The 24,267-nt window shown below is 36.8% G+C and overlaps 1 protein-coding gene across 9 annotated transcripts in view, besides 1 other annotated feature; it reads right to left on the bottom strand.

Moving 5' to 3' along the window:
* KCNQ5 (potassium voltage-gated channel subfamily Q member 5) overlaps positions 1-24,267 on the bottom strand; it is a 576,790-nt gene that overhangs the window by 465,371 nt on the left and 87,152 nt on the right. The window lies entirely within an intron of this gene.
* Positions 8,809-8,858: an enhancer, noted in NCBI's record as "active region_24739". NCBI's record gives its function as "activates an Ori minimal core promoter by ATAC-STARR-seq in GM12878 lymphoblastoid cells {active_cell/tissue: GM12878}" and the evidence as "EXISTENCE:reporter gene assay evidence [ECO:0000049][PMID:35858748]".

The raw sequence follows: 24,267 nt of genomic DNA, 5'->3' as shown, positions 1-24,267 counted from the left end.
TGCTTGAAAGTATTTTACATTTATCTTCCTTGGTGCTCATGCACTCCTCATCCTTATCTTTCTGCTAAAGCTACCTTGCGTTGTTCCTCAATGATCTTTTTATGGCTAAATCCAATAAGTATGGTGGCTCTTACTTTACTTGACATCTATAGTATTTGAAGTGTTTTTCTTTACTTCTACAGTGCTACTATTGCCTAGTTTCACTTCTCCTTGTTTTTGGTTCCTTCTCTGTCTCCTTTATTCACTCATCCTCCTGTTCCTAAATGTTGTATTATTCATAGTTCTGTCCTCCTTTCACCCTACCCTACTCACCGTGGCTTAGTCACAGCATGGCTTAAGGCTACCCTTAAACTTATTTCTTCAGCCCAGTTCTTTTCCTAAGTTCAAACCTTCTCTAGTCCCATGTGAATGTCCAACTAGCATCTTAACCCCATTTCACAGAAAACTGAACACACCTTATTTTTGCTACAAAATCTACTTTCCTTCCTGTTTTCACTTCTTTATGAAGAGTAATACTTTTCACATAGTTGTCCAGGACAGACACTGGAGCATCCTCCTCCTTTCTTTCCCCCATTTTCCCCACTTCCTGATTCAGTCCATGCCAAATACTGTAGTTTCTTTCCCCTTCTCCCGCCTTAAGGACTTGCAAGTCACTTGCCACTCTTTACTTTGTTTAAGCTCTCATCATTTCTTGTCTAATGTGCCTCTTTAGTACTCTTTTCTTTGAATCTTGCTGACCTCCAACCCATTCTCACTGTACCTCTATATTCATTTTTCTGAAATGCAAGTCTGAGCACACCACATCCCTGCTTCAAGTCCTCCAGTGATTCCTGCACTCAAGCATAATGGAAAAATCAAGTAGTTTGTCCCAAAGACCCTTTATGATCTAGTCCCAGTGGCTTCCTCTCCACTTTCATCTCTTCAGTCATTCCCAACTGAAGATAGACATAAGAGTGGGCAAAGCCCTTGAATAAACCGCACTCTCTTTCACTTGCTAGACTTCACACACTCTGTTCTTGCTGGGCAAGTTCTCTGCCCGTTGGCTCTTCTCTTTAGCTAACTAATTCTATCCTCCCACCACCTCCTCCCCTTCCCTCATATACATCCACACCCTCCCCTGCAACTGATCCTTTGGGACTCAGTGCAATTTCCACCTCCCCTCCCCTTCCTAATGCTACTCCCCTACTCAGGCTTCCTCAGGTTCCTGTAATATGTAGTCCCTCTTACCCTGAGCTCACCTCTGTCAGATCACTCCTCACTCCACACTAGAAGTATCTCTGTATCTATTTGCCTTCCACACTAGATTGCATATTACTCAAGGCAGGGACTATGTCTTAATCATCTTTGTGACCCCTGTACCAACTGTACTTGTTGGGGATTGTATTTTAACCCCTTACTGAGGTTCCAATTCCAAAGGAAAAAAGGGAACATGTGATTCAATTACTCTTGAACACATTTTCAAGCTCAAAAACTACAAAATCAAAGCAGCAATATCTAGCTCAGGTTTTTCTGAGCACTAGTTTGTCTTAAATTATTCTAAAACATGATAACTAATTGAACTGTACTCATTTTATTCACTTTCCTATTTTCTTCTTGGTATTTTCCTTCTCACTTCTCAACATGTTTGGAGGATATAATTTTTTGAAGGTTTGTTCCTCGTGGCAGGACTGGAAGTTGTCTCCCCAAAATCCATTCTCTCCTTGTTCCTTAGTAACAGAATCTCTATATTGTTGGGAGCAACCTCTTGTACACTTAAGGAGGAGATGAGTGACAGAGTGGGACTTCTTGGAAAGTATTAGAAGAGAACCGGCTTCACTTGAAGGTACACACATTTTTCCTAACTCCTCTTTTCTTTGTCCTCATGCCTGAAATGTGCATGTTGGTGAGAGCTTAAGCAGCCATCATGAACCATGAGGCAAACTTGGGGATGGAGATCACACACTAAACATAGTAATGAGGGAAAAAAAGAAGCCTGAATCACAGATGCGTTAGTTAGTCCCATAACAGTGTTGGAATGCCTATACCCATAACTCATTTACATGAGAGAAAAATAAACCTTTATTGTGTTGAAAGACACTGTTATTTGGGATAGCTTTTATATGGAGCCAAGCCTAATAAAAATTCTTGGATCCACTGCTTTTCTGCTTCTAAATGACAACTGCTCTGCCTTCTGAGTCCTTTCTATCTCCATTGTGCTTTGCCCATGTTGTGTGTGCCAGACAAATCTGGTGGCTTTCCTTGGATGGGATGACAAAAACTAGTTAGCACCTAATATGCTATCTCTACCCACCTGTCCTCTCATTTTCACTTAAAACTTTTATCTGCTTACTTATAACATCTATCTGTTTCTTCTAATCTGTGGGAATTTGGAGGTAGAGCCAGGGTTAAAACAGCTGGAGTCCTTCCTTTTTAGTATCACATATGCTAAGCCATAAATAGAATCAGAAATAGAAAAACACTTAATGAGAAATATGCAAGAACCATATGAAGAAAGCTTTTAAGATGCTTCTAAGGGACATAAAATACATAAATAGAAATGCGTACTATGTTCTTGGATAAGAAAATGTACCATAAAAACATTCATCCTTTCACAGCTAATTTGTAAATGTAATGGCACCCTGAATGTCAATACTTTTTTTTTTTCTCAGAACAAAATAAACTCATTCTAAAGTTTATATGGAAAAAGAAACAAACAAGAGCAGCCAGGAAAATTCTGAAAAAAGTGTAATGAAGAATGAGTAACTCTACCACATAAAACACCATAAAGCCTCAGTAATTAAAATGATATGAAGCTACTGCATGAATAGAGATGTAAATTTAAGAAGCAAAATATAAAGTTACAGACACAAAAAATAAATGAAATTTTGGTATATGATAAAAGTGGCATTTCATATGTGTATAGAAAAGATGAGCTATACAATAAATGGTGCTAAGACAACTGGGTGGCCATACAGAAAAAAGTTGAATCCCTATCTTACATTACACCAGAACAAATTCTGAAAGGATCAGAGAGTAATGTAACAAAATAAAATAACAAAAGTACTAGAATAAATGTACAGGAGAATTCTTTTTATAACCTCAAAGTGGTGGAAGGCCTTTCTATTTCCTAAAATTTAAAAGCCATAATAGAAAAACTAATAAATTAATCCATATTAAAGAAAACAAAAAAAAATCTAAATAGTTGTTTAAAATATAAGTAAAGTCAATAATACAAAAAATATTTACAATTCAATTAACCTAAAAAGGACTAATTTCCTTGGCATATATGCAGGTCCTACAGAATATTCACTTATCTTTTATTTATTTATTATTTCTTTCTTTATATAGTGACAGGGTCTTGCTCTGTCACCCAGGCTACAGTGCAGTGGTGTGATCATAGCTCACTGTAGCCTTGAAGTACTGAGCTCAAGTGATCGTTCCACCTCAGCCTTCTGAGTAGCTAGGAGTACAGGTTCACATCACCATGCATGGCTAACTCTTTAATTCTAGAGATGGGATTTTACTATGTGGCCCAAGATGGTCTCAAACTCCTGGCCTCAAAGGTTCCTCCCACCTCGGCCTCCCAAAATGCTGGGATTATAAGTGTGAGCCATTGTGCCTAGCCCTAATATCTACTGAAGGCAGTAGAAGCCAACAACCCAGTAAAATATAGGCCCAGTATAAGAAAGTAAATTTGTTTAGAAAAATGCAAAAACTTCTCTAATACCTGAAATAAGTTCTCTCTCATGCTTAAAAAGGAAAAGCAACTTCATTTTCACTTCATTGAGCAAATTCCAAAAGTTTGTTAACACACAGTGTTGACAAGATTGTAGATAAAGAAGCCCTCTTTATATTATTGGTGGGAGTAAGTACTGTTAGAAATTCTACTGAAGGCAATTCAGTAGTTTCTTTTAAAATTAAAAACTCATAAACCAGGCCAGCCATGGTGGCTCACGCCTGTAATCCCAGCAAGGAGGATCACCTGAGGTCAGGAGTTTGACCAGCCTGGCCAACATGGCGAAACCCTGTTTCTACTAAAAATGCAAAAATTAGCCAGGTGTGGTGGCACACGCCTGTAGTCCCAGATACTTGGGAGGCTGAGGCAGGAGAATCGCTTGAACCCAGGAGGCAGAGGTTGCCATGAGCTGAGATTGTGCCACTGCACTCCAGCCCGGGTGACAGAAAAACAAAACAAAACAAAACCTCCTAAACCCTTTGACTTTACATTTCCACTTTTATAATTTTTTTCTTACAAATATATTAACCCATGTGTGAAAAGACACACGTACAAGATTAGTCATTGCAACAATTATCTGTAATGGAAAAACACTGGAAACACCTCATTTGTCCTGTAATAAATAATGGTATGTCCATTAAATGGAATAATACATAGCTCTAAAAAATGAGGGCACTCTTAATGCACTGATATGGAAAAATCTATGATATATATTAAGTGAAAAAAAGAACATTGCGCAGTACTTATAGTATACTACTATTCTGTGTGTAAAAAAAGATAAGAAAAATAAAAATATATTGGGAAATACATGTTCACTTTATACATTTGCATACTTTTTGATGCTTGGGTCATTAAAATATGCTACCTAGGCAAAAACCTAAATAAGTATTTATTAGTAAGATAAAGAAAGAAAAGATCATATCACTGAGAACTTTAGAAATCTCAAGACCTGGGTAGTTATGTACCAGGAGATGTCATATTAATGAAGTACAGAAAATGTCAAAAATAAAAGGAAATTTTTTTCTTTGCTTGTCTTGAAGACCCTGATGGCTTCTGAATACATTCACCAAGGCAAGTGTTGATACAATCTCTTTTTCTCTCTAGCTAATTTCCAGGGAACAGAAGTAACACCTAATCAAAGAACATTACCTTCTTCCAGAATAGGAAGACCTGGCAATTTTCAGAATTGCTATGGACCAATCAATGACTGCTGTGTGCCTCTCATTGTCCCCCTTTTTGAATGGATTGTTCACAGGATAATCACAATGAATATTCTGTTCAAAAAGTGGACAATGAGAGGCACACAGACCAAAGTACTCCACTATTACATGTTGGGAGTGTGTGTTGGGGGGCATTAGATAACTTTTTTTTTAAATTAACAGGCCTCCAGATCAAGAAGAACTGCATCTGGAACAGGTATAAATAATAAGATCCTGGAATTTGAACTTGATTTCATACTTATGATTAAAAGTATGGGAATTTCCTAAAATTATATTTATATACAAAATGAGACAGAAGTAAGCTATTTTGTGTGTGGGTGGCATGCGAATAATTGTGATCTAGAAGGTGGAACATGGTATATTGCATTATTGTTTCTAATACTCTTTCCCATAGCTATACCATATGTTATATGACTTTGCATAACCTACCACTGGAATCAAAGGATATTTTCCTTCCTCACTGTTATTAGGCTTGGCCATGTGACTTTTGCTGACAAGTAGTATGTTAGCAGAAGTACACTAGCAGAGGATTAAAATGTTATTGCCAGGTTGGGCTTTGGTGCATTTACTCTGCCTTTTGCCATGAGAAGACCCTGCCTCATATAGCTCCTGGCCCAAGAAGAATGAAATAAAGGTGCAGTGGACATAGACCCAACCTGCAACTTAAGGCCATGGGAAGACTCTGCCTTACAGAGCTCTTGGTTCAAGAATAATGAAATCAAGGTGCAGTAGACCTAGACCCAACCTGCAACTGAGGCCAAGCCCAGCTGAAGGCAGCCTAGATCAGCCAAACCCCAGCTGACCCCACCCAAACTGAGAGGAAGAAATAAATACTTCCTGAATACCCCTCAGGTTTAGGTAATATATTATGCAGTATTATTGTGGCAACAGCTAACTAACACACCAATCCAGAAACCTGAGGCATTACTGAAGGAGTACCAGTTGCTAGCTATTGATTCTAAATTATTTTAGAGGCAATCATTGTAAATCACTGCTATATGTCTACAAAAGTGAAAAAAAAAATCCAGAAAAATTGTGAAATCAAAGTAGCTGCCCCTCAGAAAACAACAGGGATATTCTTTGAGAGGGATGGGCACTGAGTACATAAATGCCATCATTGAATTTTCATGTGAAAACATTTTTAATATGAAGAATAATGTTTAGATATTATAAGATGACAATCTTATACAAACTGGGAATCATACTTCAGAGATGGGCTTGACATTTTCTGCATTTTTAACTTCCTCATAAATCTTGATCAAGGTGTAAGGTAGGAATCTCTAGCCCAGGAGCTAGAAGTGACTATGCGAGAAGTTACTGCTCAGAACATTTCTCACTTTTTGTCCCTCTTGCCCCCATGGCAGGTCATATTGAGACCCTGCTGTGCTATGTGGGGTATATGGCTCATCACAGTTTAAAATTAATGGTTACATTTACTCAATTTCAAGAAAGTGTTTTCACATTTAAGGACTGAAATCCTTACTGAAGTATTATAGTAGTTAACCAACTGACTTATATTTCAACAACAAAAAAATCACTTCTCTGCATGTCACGACTAAGAGTGATCTGAGTGGTTTATCTTTAATAAGTAAGCCTCAAGATTGCTTGAGCCTAGGAGGTTAAGGCTGCAGTGAGCTTTGATCACGCCACTGCGCTGCAACCTGGGTGACACAGTGAGACCCCATCTCTAAAACAATTTGAAAAAAATTAAAAAATCATTAGAACTTAAGGCTTTCATCTGTTTTTGCTCCTGCTTTTTGTATCCTCTCTATTTTATTCCTCACTGTTCTTTCTTTCCTTTAACTACAGAACAGAATTAAAGAGAATATTAAATTTTTTCTGTATTCAACAACATTCATAATCTGTTCTCCATTCTTTTTTAATCATCTGATCATCTCCCCCTATTTGCCATGCCTGCACTGGCAGTCACCTTTCACAAGATTTTTTAAAGGTGCCCTGTTTACCTTGAACTTTAAAATTTATGAAAAGAAGCTGTTTGTTGTGAGAATATGGCAATATTAAAAAACAGATTTTTGGCTGGGCGTGGTGGCTTACGCCTGTAATCCTAGCACTTTGGGAGGCCGAGGCGGGCGGATCACGAGGTCAGGAGATCGAGGCCATCCTGGCTAACACAGTGAAACCCCATCTCTACTAAAAAAAATACAGGGAATTAGCCGGGCATGGTGGTGGGCACCTGTAGTCCCAGCTACTCAGGAGGCTGAGGCAGGAGAACTTCTTGAACCCGGGAGGTGGAGGTTGCAGTGAGCCGAGATCGCGCCACTGCACTCCAGCCTGGGCGACAGAGCCAGACTCCATCTCGAAAAAAAAAAAAAAAAAAATTTAAATTTAAAAAACAGATTTTTATCTATACTTTGTAAATACCTGGGTTTTTCTGATAAGTGTAAGGGCTCATGTTATTATTGTGAATTAATTTTTTTTTTTACCAAACATCAATTTTTTTCTTAGATAATGTGAGATGAGGATGTTTATACATAATAAATCCATTTAGTCTGCCTGTAAATTACTTTGGGATTAAGTCATTTCAGAAAACTGTGCTAAGAAAGCTATGACTGTGATGCATCCATTTTTGTTATAAACTATCTGATAAATGCATAACTGATTTTGTAGATTATTTTCACTATAAAATTCAAATATTCTAATCCAAAATGGAGGTTGTTACTAAGAATAAAAGACACTATCTTTGGTGATTAAACACAATCATTTTAAAAATGTTTAATTGACAAGTAATAATTATATATATTTATGGGAGAAAATGTGAAGTTTTGATATATTTTTACGCTGTGGAATGATTACATCAAGCTAATTAACAAAGCTGCCACCTCACATACTGACCATTTTTTTTGTGGTGAAAACATTTAAAATCTCATCCTTTAGCAAGTTTGAAACATACAATGCATTTTTATTATAGTCACCATTCTGCACAACAGACCACTAAAGCTTATTCCTCTTGCCTAATTAAAATTGTGTACTCTTTGATCAACATCTCCTCCTTCCCTTTCCATCTCCCTCCCTCAGCCTCTGGCAACCACTATTCTACTCTCTACTTCTGTGAGTTCAACCTTTAAAAATAATTCTTATAGAAATTCTCTTTTTCTACTACACTTCTTCAAGAAATGTCCTCCCACATATACTACTTTTAAATTAATCTGTGGAATTCCAAAACAACAATTAATATGATTAATCATTTTTGGGAAAACTTGTACAAGCATAGAAAAAATGATGACTACTTGATCTTCATTAAAGAAATTAAGAGTTTACAGATTTGGGGAATATATATATTAATAGTTAATATAACCCAATGTAATTTTGTCATCAACTAGATTATAATATAATTTCATACTGCATTAAAAAGTCTATTTGAAAGGATACCAAATTCTCTATTAAGATTTTTTTTATAGAAACCACATTTTGGGGAAAAACAGAGAAAAAATTCTAAGTAATAAATACATCCTCGCTTTAGTACATAAGAAATAAATTTTTAACGTAGTGTATTCTTTAAGATAGGTGGTTAATTTTATCTTGGGTGAACCAAGACATTATTAGAATTATGTTGAATTGTTTATATGGTTTCCCTTCTCTATGCAACCATGTTATGAAGTAATATATGACTTGTATTTCTGCACTGAAGCCTATGGTAAGTTAAACAATATATTTTCTATTTGACTTAAAATACCTCTTTTTAACTGAGAGAGACCCAGACAAACAGGCATTTTGTACAAGCATGAGTTGTTGCTTATTCATGAGTAAAACCACAGGTCGTCAAGTCTATAAAGTAATGTGGGCTTCATTCAGCTCTGACTTTTACTTCTCAGCCATGGCACTCATGCACAGTGGCCAAGGAGGGACACAAGGGGCATAAATCTCTCAAGAGAGCACATGTTTTATAGTTTTTTCAAACGAATCCTCCATTTCTCATATTAAATTCACATGTGGTGTGTGTGTGTAAGTTCATGGACAATTTCCAAGGCACTGGGCTACTAGAAAAAGTTTCTAGGGGGAGCTTACAACCACTGCAATTACCCCTTTTATGTTCTAGGAAGAATACAGAAAGAACGGACTATTCCACAGGTCAGAGGGGAAACTCCCAATTGCCTTTCAGGTAAATTTAATCCTGCAAGTTATTTATAAAATTACGTCTTTCTTTGGATAAAAGAAGCAAAAGAAAAAAGAAGAGGTAATTTTTCTTTCCTTTAAAAATATTAAATGACAAGGAGCATCTATTTAGTATATTCAAGTATACTTTTTTCTTCTTATAGGAATTGGCTTGATTTTCCCTTCCTTGCCTTTAACCACAAAAGTAGTATTACTACCAAGTTTTCCTAGCATTTTTGTATCACATTTCCTTGGTCATATGGAGCTATTTTATATGTCTTACATAAAAATAAGTAATTCCAAGACTCTCTAAAATAATTAGGGAACAAACCACAGAGAAAACATCTATATAAAATATATAAACATCTATAGAGATAACAGATTTACAAATAAGCCTGAGTTTCTAAATAAGAAAGCGTGTCAAAAGAAAGTCAATTACTTAAAAATCATATTACAACATTAGCAGACAATGGAAGTGCAGAAGATGTAACAGACCTTACTTTTAGCATAGTAGCTCATGAATTCTCATTTGAAAAATGAATTCAAACTAGCTACAATAGGAGAGTTCTCATCTGCACTAAAATAGCATGAAGGGTTGTAAAGGGAAGGTAATGATGAATGGCAATGTATTGAATCATAGATTTTTTTTTTGAAATCTTGCTCCAAAATTTTGAAAAATTTGAAAAATTTTGAAAAATTGCTCCAAAATCCAATGGATTTTAAAGTACTTAAGGTACCAAACTATTTATATGATCACCTGTGATGAAAGAAAGAAAGGAAGGAAAAAGGAAAAGAAAGAAGCAAAAAAAGTGAGGGGAGAATAGAGGTTCCTAGGCAGGCTTTATGTGTTTCTTGCATACATTCATAGCATGAGCATTGCTCCAACAGCAAACCCTGTCTGTGAGATTTATATCCTATAACGCATATGATAGCAAAGCATAACATTAAATATTAGATGTTTATCCAGTATTATTCCTCCTGTTTCTCATATTATTGCCATATATAAAGTAACAGGTATATCAAGATTCATAGTATAGAATAGAAACAAATAAAAAAGAAAATTAGATACCAATTACCGTTAATAAGTTAACACATACTAAATTTTTACTATGTGTTAGGTACTCTAAGACTTTAATCCTGAAATCTTACTTCATCCTGAAATAATTAAGAGTAAGTACCATTATTATTTCCATTTTAAATATAAATAAATCATGTTCTTTTCTTTCCACATTCCAGTAAATTGCAAAGCTAGAAGTGAAATAAAAGACTACCAAAATCAGGCTGGGCGTGGTGGCTCATGCCTGTAATCCCAGCACTTGGGGAGGTTGAGGTGGGAGGATTGCTTGAGCCCAGGGAGGATTGCTTGAGCTCAGCCTGGGCAGCAAGGTGAAACCCCATCTCTACAAAAGATACAGAAATTAGCTGGGTGTAGTAGCACACACCTGTAGTCCTAGCTGCTTGGGAAGCTGAGGCGGGAGGATCACCTGAACCCAGGAAGTCAAGGATGCAGTGAGCTGTGATCGTGCCACTACACTCCAGCCTGGGTGACAGAAAGAGACGTGTCTCAAAAAAAAAAAAAAAAAAAGTCAACCAAACCCTAATACTCCTTTCACTATACTACTTTGCTATTATTATTATTATTGTCATTATAATTATTATCATGCTTAATTTCATGGGATTAACAGGGAAACAGAAACATGAACATATTAATAAAATGTCAACAACATGGTCTGAATAGTCATGTTTATGACAATAATCCGAGCTATGCCGAAGGAACAATGCCTCCCATGATTGCCACATGTGTGAAGTCCTGACTCTGATTCAGCCACCATGTCAGTTCACTTCTAGGTGGAGCATCTCTAAACTTCACCATCTGATGCGATTTATACAAATGAAGACAATGAGATTTGGAGAGTCTAAGAAACTTCTCCAAGGTAGTTGTGGCAGAATCAGGATTTAAACCTGGGTGTTCTGATTTGAAAGATCTTGCATATAAACACTCCTAGACAGAGCTTTTCATAACTGGATGCACAATAAATTGCACAGATTCTGATTGACTTAGAACTTCAGAGAAGGGGAAATAACTCTTGGCTGGAAGGGCCAAGGACGGCTTTTAGGCAAGAGAAAGGTTTTATTCAGAACTTTGAAAAAGTCATAGAAGTAGTGGACAGAGTGGAGCAAAGGGACAGTATGCCTTGTATTATCTTATAGTTCTGGAGGTCAGAAGTCCAAAATCAGCCTCCCTGGGCTAAAGTCAAGGTACCAGCAGGGCTGGTTCCTTCTGAAGACTCTGAAAGGAGAATCAGTTTCCCTTCCTTTTTCAACTTCCTTAGCTCAGGATCCCTTCCTTGTATCACTCCAGTCTCTTGCTTCTGTCATCATGTATTAACTCTGATTCTCCTTCCTTCTCTTTTGAAGTCCCTTTTGATGACACTTGGCCCACCTGTATAATCCAGAATAATCTTCCCATCTCAAGATCTTTAATTTAGGCACATCTGCAAAGTTCCTTTGCCAAATAAGGTACCCTATTCCCAGACCCTGAGGACAAGCACATGGACATCTTTGGGGGCATATTTTCAGTGTACCATAAGGTAGGACAGCCATAAGGTTCACACAGCCTGATAGCCCTCCTTGGCCAATTGAAGACAAGTGAGAAAACAGGGAAGTAGCATGATTAAAGTAATATTTTTGGTCAAGTAATCTGGAGTTTCACTGGCAATTCATCTATAACAGTGGTTCTCAAAAATTAGTGTATAAAAACACATTTTGTGTTTGTTATAACACAGAGGTTCCTGGGCCTCTTCATCACTGGATCTGTGATGAAGATACAGTATTTATGAGTCTGTGGTGGAGTCCAGGAATCTTCTTCTTTAAACAATCCCCACAGATGATTCTGATGCAAGTGGTCTAAGTCCAAGACCACAGTTTGGGAAATGCTGGGCTATGACATGTAAATGTCTTCATAAATCTACATTCACTCTTTCCCCAGTCTATGAGGGGAATGAGATCAGGACTTTAAAAAAAAAAGTGCAAATCAAAAGTGTATTTTAAGCTTGTTTACACACTAGTTTGTTTGTAAGATTTATCACAAACCTAAAATAATAACACTGCAACAAAATTCACTCTTTTAAGCATAAAGGAAAAAAAAAGTTACCTGTTTCAGATAAAGGGGAAGAAGACATCCAAGAACTGCACATCTCACTGACTGAATACTTACTATGTGCTGAGTACTGTTCTAAACACTATATAATATTAATTTTTAAAATCCTCACAGTAACCCTACATGTTGATGTTATAATCTCAGTTTTTACAGATCAGAAAGCTGAGGTGTAGATAAAATATGGAAATAATGGAAAATAGCTTTTCCATTATCACATAGGTAGGAAATGATAGAACCTCTATTTGGTTATTGTCTGTCTGGCTTCTAAATTCATACATTTTTGACTTTGCTGCTTTGTCTTCCAAGGAATGCTCACCTACAGGAGACTAACTACTCAAAAACTTAAATATAAAATCTACAATCATTTAATAGATATTCCTGATTCTTTTTAAGAAGAAGCAATAGGTATTGAGAGAGGGAAAAGCAATGGACTTAGAGCTAGAAGTTGAGATTTTCTTCTGATTTGGAGCCCACTATCTCTGGGACCTTGAACAAATCCCTTAATCTCCATGGTCTGCATTTTCTCAGACTGAAAATAAGAAGACGAGACAAACTAATCTGTAAAATATCTTATCATTCTACATTTCTAGGAGTTTTATGAATATAGTAATTATGACTCACATATCACTCCGCACTGATGATAGCATGGATTCCTCATAAAAGGAATTCTACATGTTAGCAGAAACCTCTTTGGCTGAAAAATGGCTAAGTAGGAAAGAAACTGCAGAAAATCACAAGGTCAAACCCCCATCTAGAATCTGTGGGAACAAGGGAAAAGAAAACAGCCTTTGCAATCACTTTTTCCAAAGACTCAGCAACACAAATAACATGATATAAGTGAGAACCACGGAGGAAGCAAAAATGCCCCTAGAACAGGCAACAATTAATTTGGTAGATTCAAAACTTAAAAAAATGCACTAATTCATAGAGAAGTCATTTCCTGGGAGTTTTGTCATCTGTCTTTTTAAGTATAATGTAAAAAAGCATTGTAATACCTGAGTATCCATTCCATGGCAGGTTAAAAGCAGCTAACTTGCCAGAAGGTTAAGTGGACTGTGCACTTATAGCAGTAAAAAGCAACGGAGATGATACTAAAACTACAAAAAGTTGATACACTGTGACTCAAAAGCACAGTGCCTGCAGTTCCTCAGAATGGGACAAAGGACACTGCCAGAGGCCACATGGTGGCATGATGATGAGCACTGCCTTGCATGCATGCCTAACAGATATGGCGGCGGGTCACCTGTCTAACATTGACTCAAATGTTTGCTGAGTCCCCACCAGAGTTTAGTGTACATATCAGGCATAGAAAGGATGAGGATGAAGGGAAATATGAGATTTTGCCAAATTATTCGATGACCTGAGACACTGGTGATAAACTCCAGCTCTGTGGTCTCAAGACAGGAGGCCCCAAGTCTGGGGTGTCAGTCCCTGAGTAAGTGCCTCAGGAGTGGTCTAGAGAACTGCCTGCATTAGAGGGTTCTAGAGCTGGTGCTGAGAGAGTGACACTGCACTGTCCAATCCCTGAGGAGTTGTTTGAGAAAGCAAAGGAGTTACCAGAGAGGCAAGAGAGGAACCTATGGGAGCTACCCACAAAGGGCTCACTGGGCCACCACTGCCAAGAATAGGTGCCACCTTCACAGAGAAGTATCTCTAAGCAAGAGGCCCCAAAATTAGGACTTTAAAAGTGCAAGGCTATGGAGTCACATAGACATGGCTTTGAATCCTGGCTTGGCTTGGCCATTTAGTATCCAGGTTTTTCATTAGCCAAATATCTATATCATCTCATTGTTAAGAGAATTAAATGGAATATTGCTGGTATATAGCTGAACTTTGGTTTTTAATTTTTTTTCCTGTTACTTCATCATTACTTAAGAACATTGGGATGTACTCAGAGAAACCCATGAGAGAGGGGCTTCTGAGCCTAGTTATCTTTGGAAACAGCAGGTAGAATGGAAACAGCAAGGGATGCCTAATGCAGAGAGATCTCTGCCTCTGTCTTCCACCTCAATGAGCATTGTCAGTCTTTCAAAATATGCCTCACAGTGAAGACAGAATACTTTTCCATCAGAAAAGTTGGTCTAAATATCTGAACGGGAATTCAGATTCCTGCTGGTTCAGGGCAAGATTAGAATTTTTCCATTTAGACTGCAGGTTCTAAGGAAGTAGAATTATATCTTATCTATTTATGCCCCACAGATCCCAACAAATAGGAGATTCTCAGTAAACAGTTATTGAATGAAGAAATAAATAAATGCTAAATATAAATACCTCTACCTCTCTCCATTTTTCCATTGACAGCATTTTATATCCATGTTTGAACTATTTCTTAGGAGTTATTTTTATAAAACAAAATTAAACTATCTTTACATTTCAATAAAAAAAGAGCAATTGATATACAATAGCAGGCTTAAAATGGAACCTATAATGGAAGCTGAGGAGAAACTATCATTTGTTTAGTCTCTCCTTGTCTAGGTACCCCAAATGCATGAAAGTATTTCAAATAAGACCATAAGATGGAGCAGAGGCTGGGTGCGGTGGCTCACGCCTCTAATCCCAGCACTTTGGGAGGCTGAGGTGGGCGGATCACGAGGTCAAGAGATTGAGACCATCCTGGCCAACATGGTGAAACCCCGTCTCTACTAAAAATATAAAAATTAGCCAGGCATGGTGGCACGTACCTGTAGTCCCAGCTACTCGGGAGGCTGAGGCAGGAGAATCACTTGAACCTGGGAGGCGGAGGTTGCAGTAAGTGGAGATCACACTACTGCACTCCAGTCTGGCGACAGAGCGAGACTCTGTCAAAAAAAAAAAAAAAAAAAAAAAAAAGAGCAGAAAGGAAGAATCTCAAGACCTGGCTTAGCTCCTCAATCTCCAATTGAAAACCAAGATAAAAGGAATGCAGCTGCTGCTTAATGCCACCAACTGCAGGTGGAAAACTGGCAAGCAGAACATGCAGACCAGCAAAGGGAGAGGCATACATCATAACATAATTAGCTATTCATACCTTCTTAGGATCAACTTAGAGGAACTTTCTTAGAAGATCATGGATTTCTAATGGAATTTAGAATCAGTAAATACTGACTGCCAAGGGAACCTCAGTTTCTCAGGAAAGTCACTCAAGGCAAATTTTTAGCAATACAGGGTAAACTCTTCACCCAAAGTCAATTTGTAAGAATGTAAATAATAAACCTCATGCATGAGGCATGTATGCTTTGGGGTGGCCATAGAGGGTGGGATCCTTGCCCTCTTAGACATATGCAGGTAATGACTGGCATATGATGTTTGGGAGAAAGAGTTGTGTGAGGTCATACCGTGGAAGACTCCAAGGCAGAAATCCAACTACTCTTGGTAGTACTGTACCGTAAAAGCTGAGTGAATATTCTACTAAACAAATGGTCCTTAATAAATAAATTTTTCAAACACCTCCTTAGTGCTAGGAATATTTTTCCTGCTTTTGGGAAATGCATTCATGGTACATAAACAAAAGTATTCACTCGATTTTTATTTCTGTGGCTTAGATGGATGATAACAAAAATCTACAGGCAGCCTCATGGAGAGCGATTCTAAACTAATGATTCAATTTATGTTGTGCCTATCACCCCTTAAATACGTGGTTAATGCTAAGATTGAGAGCCCCAAGGCCCTACATAAATGAATAAAGGCTTTATTAAAGACTGTACCAAAAATAAGTGTTCCCATACTGACAATACATGTGTTATTTTCTAAAATAACATCCAAGAATGTTCTCTCATGATATGTTATTTGGTAATTAATTCCTGTGAAATCTAGAGTGGTCACCCATTTCTCTTTTCAAAATATTTAAAAAATTTTTGACACATAATAATTGTACATATTTATGAAATACAGTATGTTTCAATACAAGTATATGTTGTATAATAATCAAATCAGAGTAATTAGCATATCCATCACCTTAAAATTTATCATTTCTTTATGGTGGGAACATAAAAATTCCCTTCTTCTAGCAATTTTGAGATATACAATAACTTACTGTTGATTGGCTCAACCATTCCTTTTAAGCAGGTCATTTACAACATGGGTGAAAGAAGACTAGGTGTTAGACATTCAAATTGTCTAGATTTGCTCAAACTAAATAACTGGCACTTCCTGCTGTGACACAGTTTATGAAGCTCATCAGATTATGCCAGTGAGATTCCACTACATGGGGATTATGACTCACATTTTGTCAATAATCAGAAACATGCTCACAAATGAATTTCAGCATCTTTGAGAATTATTATCACTCCCTCCATTAGAATGCAAACTCCATAGAAGCTCTGTTTTCCCCATCCCTGGAAGACTCTTTGGCATGGAGTAGGTGTTTAATAAACATTGTGTGGATCAAATGCATAACTGAATTTAAGTTGCTGCTTTGAGATGGCATTGAGGAAAGTGGTTAAAGATGAGAAAAAAGTTTATACGTCACTTTATGAATACACATCCCTGCAATCTGTTCTCTAAAGGGTGCTTTTGTGAAAACACAATCTTCTCTCTTATCTCACCAAAGTTGAATGCTTCTCTCAAATGTCAGAAAACCTAAATATGACAGTTCATGTCTGACATCCAACATCCACTTAATAGATAGTAATTAAACACCTACTATATATGGCCATATGTCACTAAACCAGTCTTACCTGTGTAAAAAGAAAAAATTCAATCTTCTGTACAAAATATGGTACCCAGGATTAATTGATAAAAAGTAAAGCTTCTCCTGAAACAATTAAAGGCCATGAAGAAGCCCCTAGAGCCGGGTTTCACCCACTGCTTTAGGTATTACAAAAGCCAAATGAATATTCAGCTAAGCAAATGAACTTAAAACCAGCAATTAAAACAAAAGCCTCCTTGATGCTAAGAATTTTTTCATGCTAATATGGTAATTCATTTATAAGGAAGCAGATAAAAAGTATGACCACACATACCATGCCTTACACATCCAAATAATTGCTTTCCTGTATGAAATAGTCACTTTGTGAAGTTATGCATTTATTCTCATGAACAGCCATTTAAATATTTCAGAATCAATTTTTACTTTTTTCAGAAGTATGTCCTATTCTTTTAAGTAAACTTAAGGGACAAATTTTATTTTGGGGGGCTGTGAAAAATCAGTTGGAATTCCTTATGATAAACAACATAAATAATCAAGATGAGCAATGACATTTGAGTTAAGAACAAGATGCAACTATAACATATTAGGAATTTTTATGTGGCTTCATAACTTGATTACAAAGGCAAATTGTGGAAGAGGAACTCTATAATATTATCACTGGCATAAGTAGAAAGCTTATTAGAGTGATTATTGTTAAGATCAACAGTAAAAAGTATAACATAAGTATCAATCACAAACATTTGAATTTTGATATACATAACAAAGGAAAATTATTATATGTAGATATTTCTTAAAAGATGAAAAATGGAGATTATATTATTCAGATTTTGTAAAATAATTATCCTAGTTAGTATCGGAATATCATTAGAATTTCATAGCATTGAATTTCTCTAATTATCATTAAAATACCATAGTATAAAACCAAATATTATCTTAAGATACTTTATAAGTGTCATGTTTTAAATGATTTTCCTTTTTAAAATTTAGAGGCATCCATATTTCTAGGTAAATTACATGTCCATCTTTTTTGTTTCAGTGAGCGACCAAGGAGGCTCACTATTTATGAAGGCATGAGCTGACTTCAGAAAACTTTAGAATTGGCTCCTTCTGCTCATTCCTGTATTTTCACCCTGTGCTTCGTGATCTTGTCTGAATTTCTGTACCAAGAAAGTCTTTGTAATAACCCAGGGCAAACATTTTTATTGAGAGCCTAAAGCATAACAAGGCTCTGTAACTGTGCCTAGCAGCCAAAGTTTGCAAGGTAAAACCCAGATTCCCTTAGGGATTTGGCCGAGGATTTGGGCTTGGTTATACTGTGAATGCACTCAGGTATGTAACCGTGGCCATTCTGTGTGCTACAAACGCTGAGTGAGTTCTTCAGTGATCTCACCAGCAGGTACAGGGACTGGAATTACTCCTCATCCTGCAATTACTTGCCTGAAATTGGCCAGGCTACGGATAAATAACACTCTCACTTACCTCTGTCAAATTAAATAAATATTCACTAATAAATAGTTTGCATGCACTTCTTTATAATACAACATTTAAACACCAATTTTGGTCCCAATTGAAAGACAATTTATGACAGGAACAAATACTATGTTATTTAGCTTAACTGTATAATTTTAGAATTCTTGCCTACATTAAAAAAATCTCATCCAGTTTACAAAAAACAATTGGCTCACAGAAGCTATATATTTATTTTTGTTTGCCCATTTCCTTTATTATCTCCTGTTAGAAACAATTTCTAGCATTAATTTGTTTATTCTAAATATGATGAGAAAAATCCATCAGATTTATTTTCCAGACTCGCTGGTGCCCATGAATATGATCTTCAAGATATTAAGAGGAAATCAAGTTTTTGCTATTTTTGAACTGCCTTGACATTAGCAGTTATCATTTAGAAACTGACAGAAATTAGCCAGTATATGAAGGAGTTCTGACATGTATCAGCTGACAATTAAACTGGTCAGATGGTCATCAGTGAAAGCACTTTAGCTATCAAACAATACCCAAGGTAACTATCCATACTCATGATAAAAAGATATTTTCATGTCCTTTTGTAACCCACACAATATTAAGCATGAATTATATAAGCAACTGTTCCTAAGCCATATCAGAGAGAAAAGGAAAAGCAGAGTATTTAACAATATTGCATGGGATGTGTTATAAAGGCTTTTTTTTTTCAGTTTAGTGGAGGATCCATTTCCATCTTGAACTCCAAAGATGGTATGAGCCTTTCTACCAAAAGGGTTATGACAAGCTCCTCCATTGCTACAGATCAGAGACAAGAACTTTACAAATAAAGAACAAAGCAGGTATTGCAGCATTGCACAATGATGGGCAATGCTTTAGAGAGCATAAAGTATGGAATCTAGGAAATTCTTACAAACATAGCAGTTGATATGAACTTAATACCTAAGATAGTTAATTAGGTAGAGATTAAGACTTAGTAAGAAGAGGCCTTCAACAACAAATGGACTCACTAGGAACATATGTCTCTATGTTGCTCAGAATCTGCTCCACAGCAGTTGTAATTGTTCTTACAGAGAAATAAATGAAGTCTGTGTAATGGGTAAGGACACATAGGTGAGCTAACATTTGAGTTGAGATTCAAAGAATGAATGGCATTTTATCTTGCACGTAGGGGAAAGGGAAACTCATTCCAGTTAGGGAAATGAGATGAAAAAGGCATAACTCCGGATGGAAGTGCATAACTCTCTCAACACAACACAGGATCCAGGTAGACTGTATTTAGGATTTTGGAAATGATACGGGATGAAGCTAGAAAGGCAAGAGAGTCTGCACTTAAAGGTCTGGGAATATCATCTTAAGTGGTTAAGTTTTACTCTACTGTAAAGGAGAAGCCTGAGAAGGGCAGTGACATAAGCCTGTCTAGTCTCCATGCCCCTCTCTAAGACAAAGAACCCTCTGTGGGCTTCAAGCACTTATTCCTTTAGCCTAGAATAGATGCATAAAAGGAACTTAACTGATGTTCTCTTGTTGGTTAATGAAGATTTGTATCAGTTTCTTATTTTAGCAAATCTTGGCTGACAATATGGAATATTGACTGGAGAAGAGAGAGGCCAGAGGCACCAGAACTATTAGGAGATCACTGCAACTGCTGGGAAAACGCAAATCATTCTATGAACCAAGATGATTTGGAAGGTGGATATGAAAAAAAATTGTAGAAGCCAAATTAATAGAATTTGGTGATTGGTTGGACTTCTGATGAAGGTAGAAAATTTTTGTAACTCAGATGAACAGGTTGATGGGATGGTGATGCTTCTCTCAAAGATAGGAAAAGCCTTTCAGAGGCGAACTTATGACGGCTGGGGAAGGGTGGTGCAGGAAGAAAAGGAAAGAGTCACGTTTGGGACGCCTGGAGTTCAAAATGCCTGTTTGGCTTTCATGTGGAAACATCCGAAATGGGGCTGGGGCTTAAAAGTCAGCCAGAGATGTTAGCAAGCCAAGATGTTTGCTTGGATTTCAAATGTGTAACCTGATATTAGGAATTGCATCTCTGACTAAGCTGCAAACCCAACCAGCATTTTTATATCTACCTCCTGCCGTGCGACTTTAAGCATGTATTCATTTATTTATTATGTACATATTACTGAGCACCTAAAATACATCAGGCACAGTTTTGGGTCTGGGAATGCAGCAAACAGGAGAGAGAAAGTTTTTGTTGCCACGTAGATTATCTTCCAAGGGAAGACTGACCAAAACTAAGTAACTAATAAACATCTATTTTTAGAAGGTATATACAGGTGGTGATATAAAATTGTTTTACTGCTCATCTGAATCTTAATTATGACTCAAATTATGTGGTTATGCATGAAGTTAATAAAGTTTTTCTTATGCAGAAGTATAAGGGAGTACAGAGTGAAGTAACAGGAGGAGGTAGTAAAGCAAAAAATTATTGAGCTTTCATCCAGAGAGGATACTCCAAGTGAGCTTGTCAAGAAAACCTATTGGTGTTCTATTAGTTGCTGACATTTTTCCCCAACTGTCATTATGGTCATAATTTAATACAAAGAATGATGATGTTATCGTATATCCACCCAGGCTGAGAATGTGTCAGAGATGTGCTTTCAAAGGTAGTTCCAAGCGGCTATTAACTGAGGTAAATCTTACACAAAATAAATTAAATCTTATTAGATTCAAAGATTGACAACAGTGACAAACAGATTTAAGTATTTTAAAGCTGGTCTTGCTTTTAGGATTCGGAAGTGTTCATTCATATGCTAGGCTTGCTGCTGCATGCTACTCACTTCAGAGTGTATATTCTCTTTCCTTCTTGAAGCGCCTTCTTCCCCTGGCTTCTTAAACCTTGGACTCTATGAATTTCTGTCTGTGACAATTCCTTTGCTATTTCTTTGTAAGTTCATTCTCTTCTTCCAAGCCTATAAATGTAGGTGTTCCCCAGGGTTTTATTCTAGATCTGTTTCTCATTTTATGTCAAACTCTTTCCTAGGTAATCTATCCATTCTTCATTCATTCATTCATTCCTAAAACAAACATGTATTCAGTACCTCCTGTATACCAGCACTGTTCCATGCATTTGAATACATCAGTGAACAAAACAGATAAAATCCCTGTCCACAGAGAACTGAAACTGTAGCATATTTTGATTACTACACATATGCTTTGACCTCCAAGTTTATATTTCCAGTCCATCTGTTCTCTGAGCTCCAGATTCATTCACTGACTGATTCTCCACTTGGATGTTTCAGAAGCATCTCAAATTCAGCATGGCCAAAATGGAACTGTCAAGTTGGGGATAAAATTGTGAGTCCAGTGTTTTCCACTTCTAAAATGGCACCAACTTCCTTCCATCTGAAAAACCCAGAAATGTAGAAGAAATCCTTGTCCCAACAAATTCATTCTTAAAGATCAATCCGCTTCTCTCCAACTCCACTGTCACCTTCCCAAATCTAGCGTAATTTATCACCTGGGACCTTTGGATAGGTCTCCCTGCACCTACACTTTCCCTACTCCAATTCTCCACAGTCAGATGATTTTAAAAATGCAGATCAAATCATGTCAGCCCTTTAGGATAAAGGCCAAAATCCTTCGCAGAGTCCACCAGACCTTGTATGATTTGGCTTCCCTCTACCTCTCTCATCTCCCCAGGCACCACTCTCATGTGTCATCTCTAGCTTCGGCTTTCTTTCAGATTCTCAAATGCACCAAGTGCTTTTCACATGTTGTTCCTTTATGCTTCTTTTCAAGGGGTTAACTCTTTTTTATCAGTCTGCTACTGCTGCCATAACAAAATGGCACAGACTGGGTAGCTTAAACAACAGAAATTTAATTTCTCACATTTCTGAAGGCTGGGAGTCCAAGATCATGGTGTTGGCAGGGTTGGTTTCTCCTGAGGCCTCTCTGCTTGGTTTGTAAATGGCTACTTCTTGCTGTGTACTCACATGGTCTTTTCTCTGTGTACATTTATTCTTAATGTCTCTTCTTCTGATAAGGAGGACACCAGTCCTATTGGATTAAGGCCCCACTCTTACAACCTCATTTTACCTTAGTTACTTCTTTAAAGTCCCTATTTCCAAACACAGTCACATGGGGAATTAATTTCCACATATTTGCTAATTTTCCATGATCCTTTCTCTTATTGATTTCTAGCTTCCTACTACTATGGTCAGAAAAGATATTCAATATGATTTGGATCTTAATTTTGATCTTGTTTTGTGGCCTAACCTAGTATCTGTTCTGCAGAATGCTCTGTGTATACTTCAGAAGAATGTATATCCTGTTGCTGTTGGGTAGAATGTTCTGTATATGTCTGTTAGGTCCATTTGGCCCAAAGTATAATTCAAGTCCAATGTTTCCTTATTGACTTTATGTCTGAATGATATGTCCAATGTTAAAAGTGGGGGTATTGATGTCCCCCACTATTATTTTGTTGCAGTCTATGTCTCCCTTCAAATCTCTTCATGTCTGCTTTACATATTTAGATGCTCCAATGTTGGGTGCATATGTATTTACAATTGCTACATTTTCTTAATGAACTGACGCTTTTATCACCACATAATAGCCTTCTTTGTCTCTTTTTACAGTTTTTGACCCAAAGTCTATTTTGTCTGAAATAAGTATAGCTACCCCTCTTCTCTTTTTATTTCCATTGGCATGTAATAATTTATCCCATTCCTGCACTTTCAGTCTGAGTGTATTTTAAGGTGAAATTAGTCTCTTGTAGGCAGCATACAGTTGGGTCTTGTTTTGTTTTGCTTTTTAAATTTTTTTAATCCAGTCATCCACTCTATGCCTTTTGATTGGATAATTTAATCCATTTACATTCAAAGTAATTACTGAATGGTAAGAACTTACCAATGCCAGCTTATTAATTGATTTCTGATTGCTACATTGAGAGTTAAATAAATTTTGTATTTTGGGGGGACACAATTCAGTTCTTAACAGAAGCTTCCCCTGATTCCCTTGGGTAGGCTTCCAGTTGTCCATTCTTTTAACATCTTGTATTTGTTACAGTGCACTTTCACCATTTGTAATAACAAGCACTGTTTGCCATGTAGAAGACCAGGCCTTTTCCTATCTCACTGACCTTATCTGTTACCATTCTTTCCCTCACTCACTCCATTCCTCTCTAAACATGTTATTTCAACCCCTCAAATTTTCTGTGCCCTTATATAGCTTTATTTTTCTTCATATCACCACCCACCATGATAATATTTACTTATTTGTTTATTTGCTTACTGTTTAATTTGTGCACCAGAATGTAAGATTCATGGGTTCAGGTACTATATTCCACAAATCTAGTACAGATTCATAACACAGGGAGCGCTCAATATACATTTTTTTAATAAATTAATGGGTGTATTTATTTGCATGGTTATTTGATTCTTACTGTTTTCTCCACCAGAGGGTAATCTCTGTAGTACAGGAAGAATGTCTGTTATGCTCACCAGTGACTTGGCACTTAAGATCTAGTGGCTAGCACATGGTGTGTTCTTAGTAAATATTTGTTAAATGAAATAAAAATAAAGCAAAAGTAGTGAAAGTTTATAGAAAACATCTTGAAACAATTTGCAGAACATGAAGAGAAGTTGTAGCCATTTCTAGTGATTTCACAATTCATTTTGACTTAGCAGGGGTATACCCTCAGTTTAAGCATCTCTTTTCTGGGCCAAATCTCTGTTAGGGGCCATAAAACCGCCATCAGAGTGTTATGTAAATTACAGGAGAAAAGAGAATGACAGAATTTATATTTCTAGAAATATTTCCTCTCCAAGGATCAAGTGTAACCCCAGACTGTTATTTTTTTGGATGGTCCTTTAGTTCACTAATGAATGGGATTCCAAGACCAAATTATTTGGATGTTTTGTATGGATTGAAATAAATGTCCTAAAAACAAGGCAATAAAAGCACACTTTGAGAATAACTTCTAGTTCAAACCAAGTAT

This window comes from Homo sapiens, chromosome 6 (genome assembly GCF_000001405.40).
Source record: "Homo sapiens chromosome 6, GRCh38.p14 Primary Assembly".
Lineage (NCBI taxonomy): Eukaryota > Metazoa > Chordata > Mammalia > Primates > Hominidae > Homo > Homo sapiens.
This window is presented reverse-complemented; position numbering and strand designations above follow the sequence as displayed.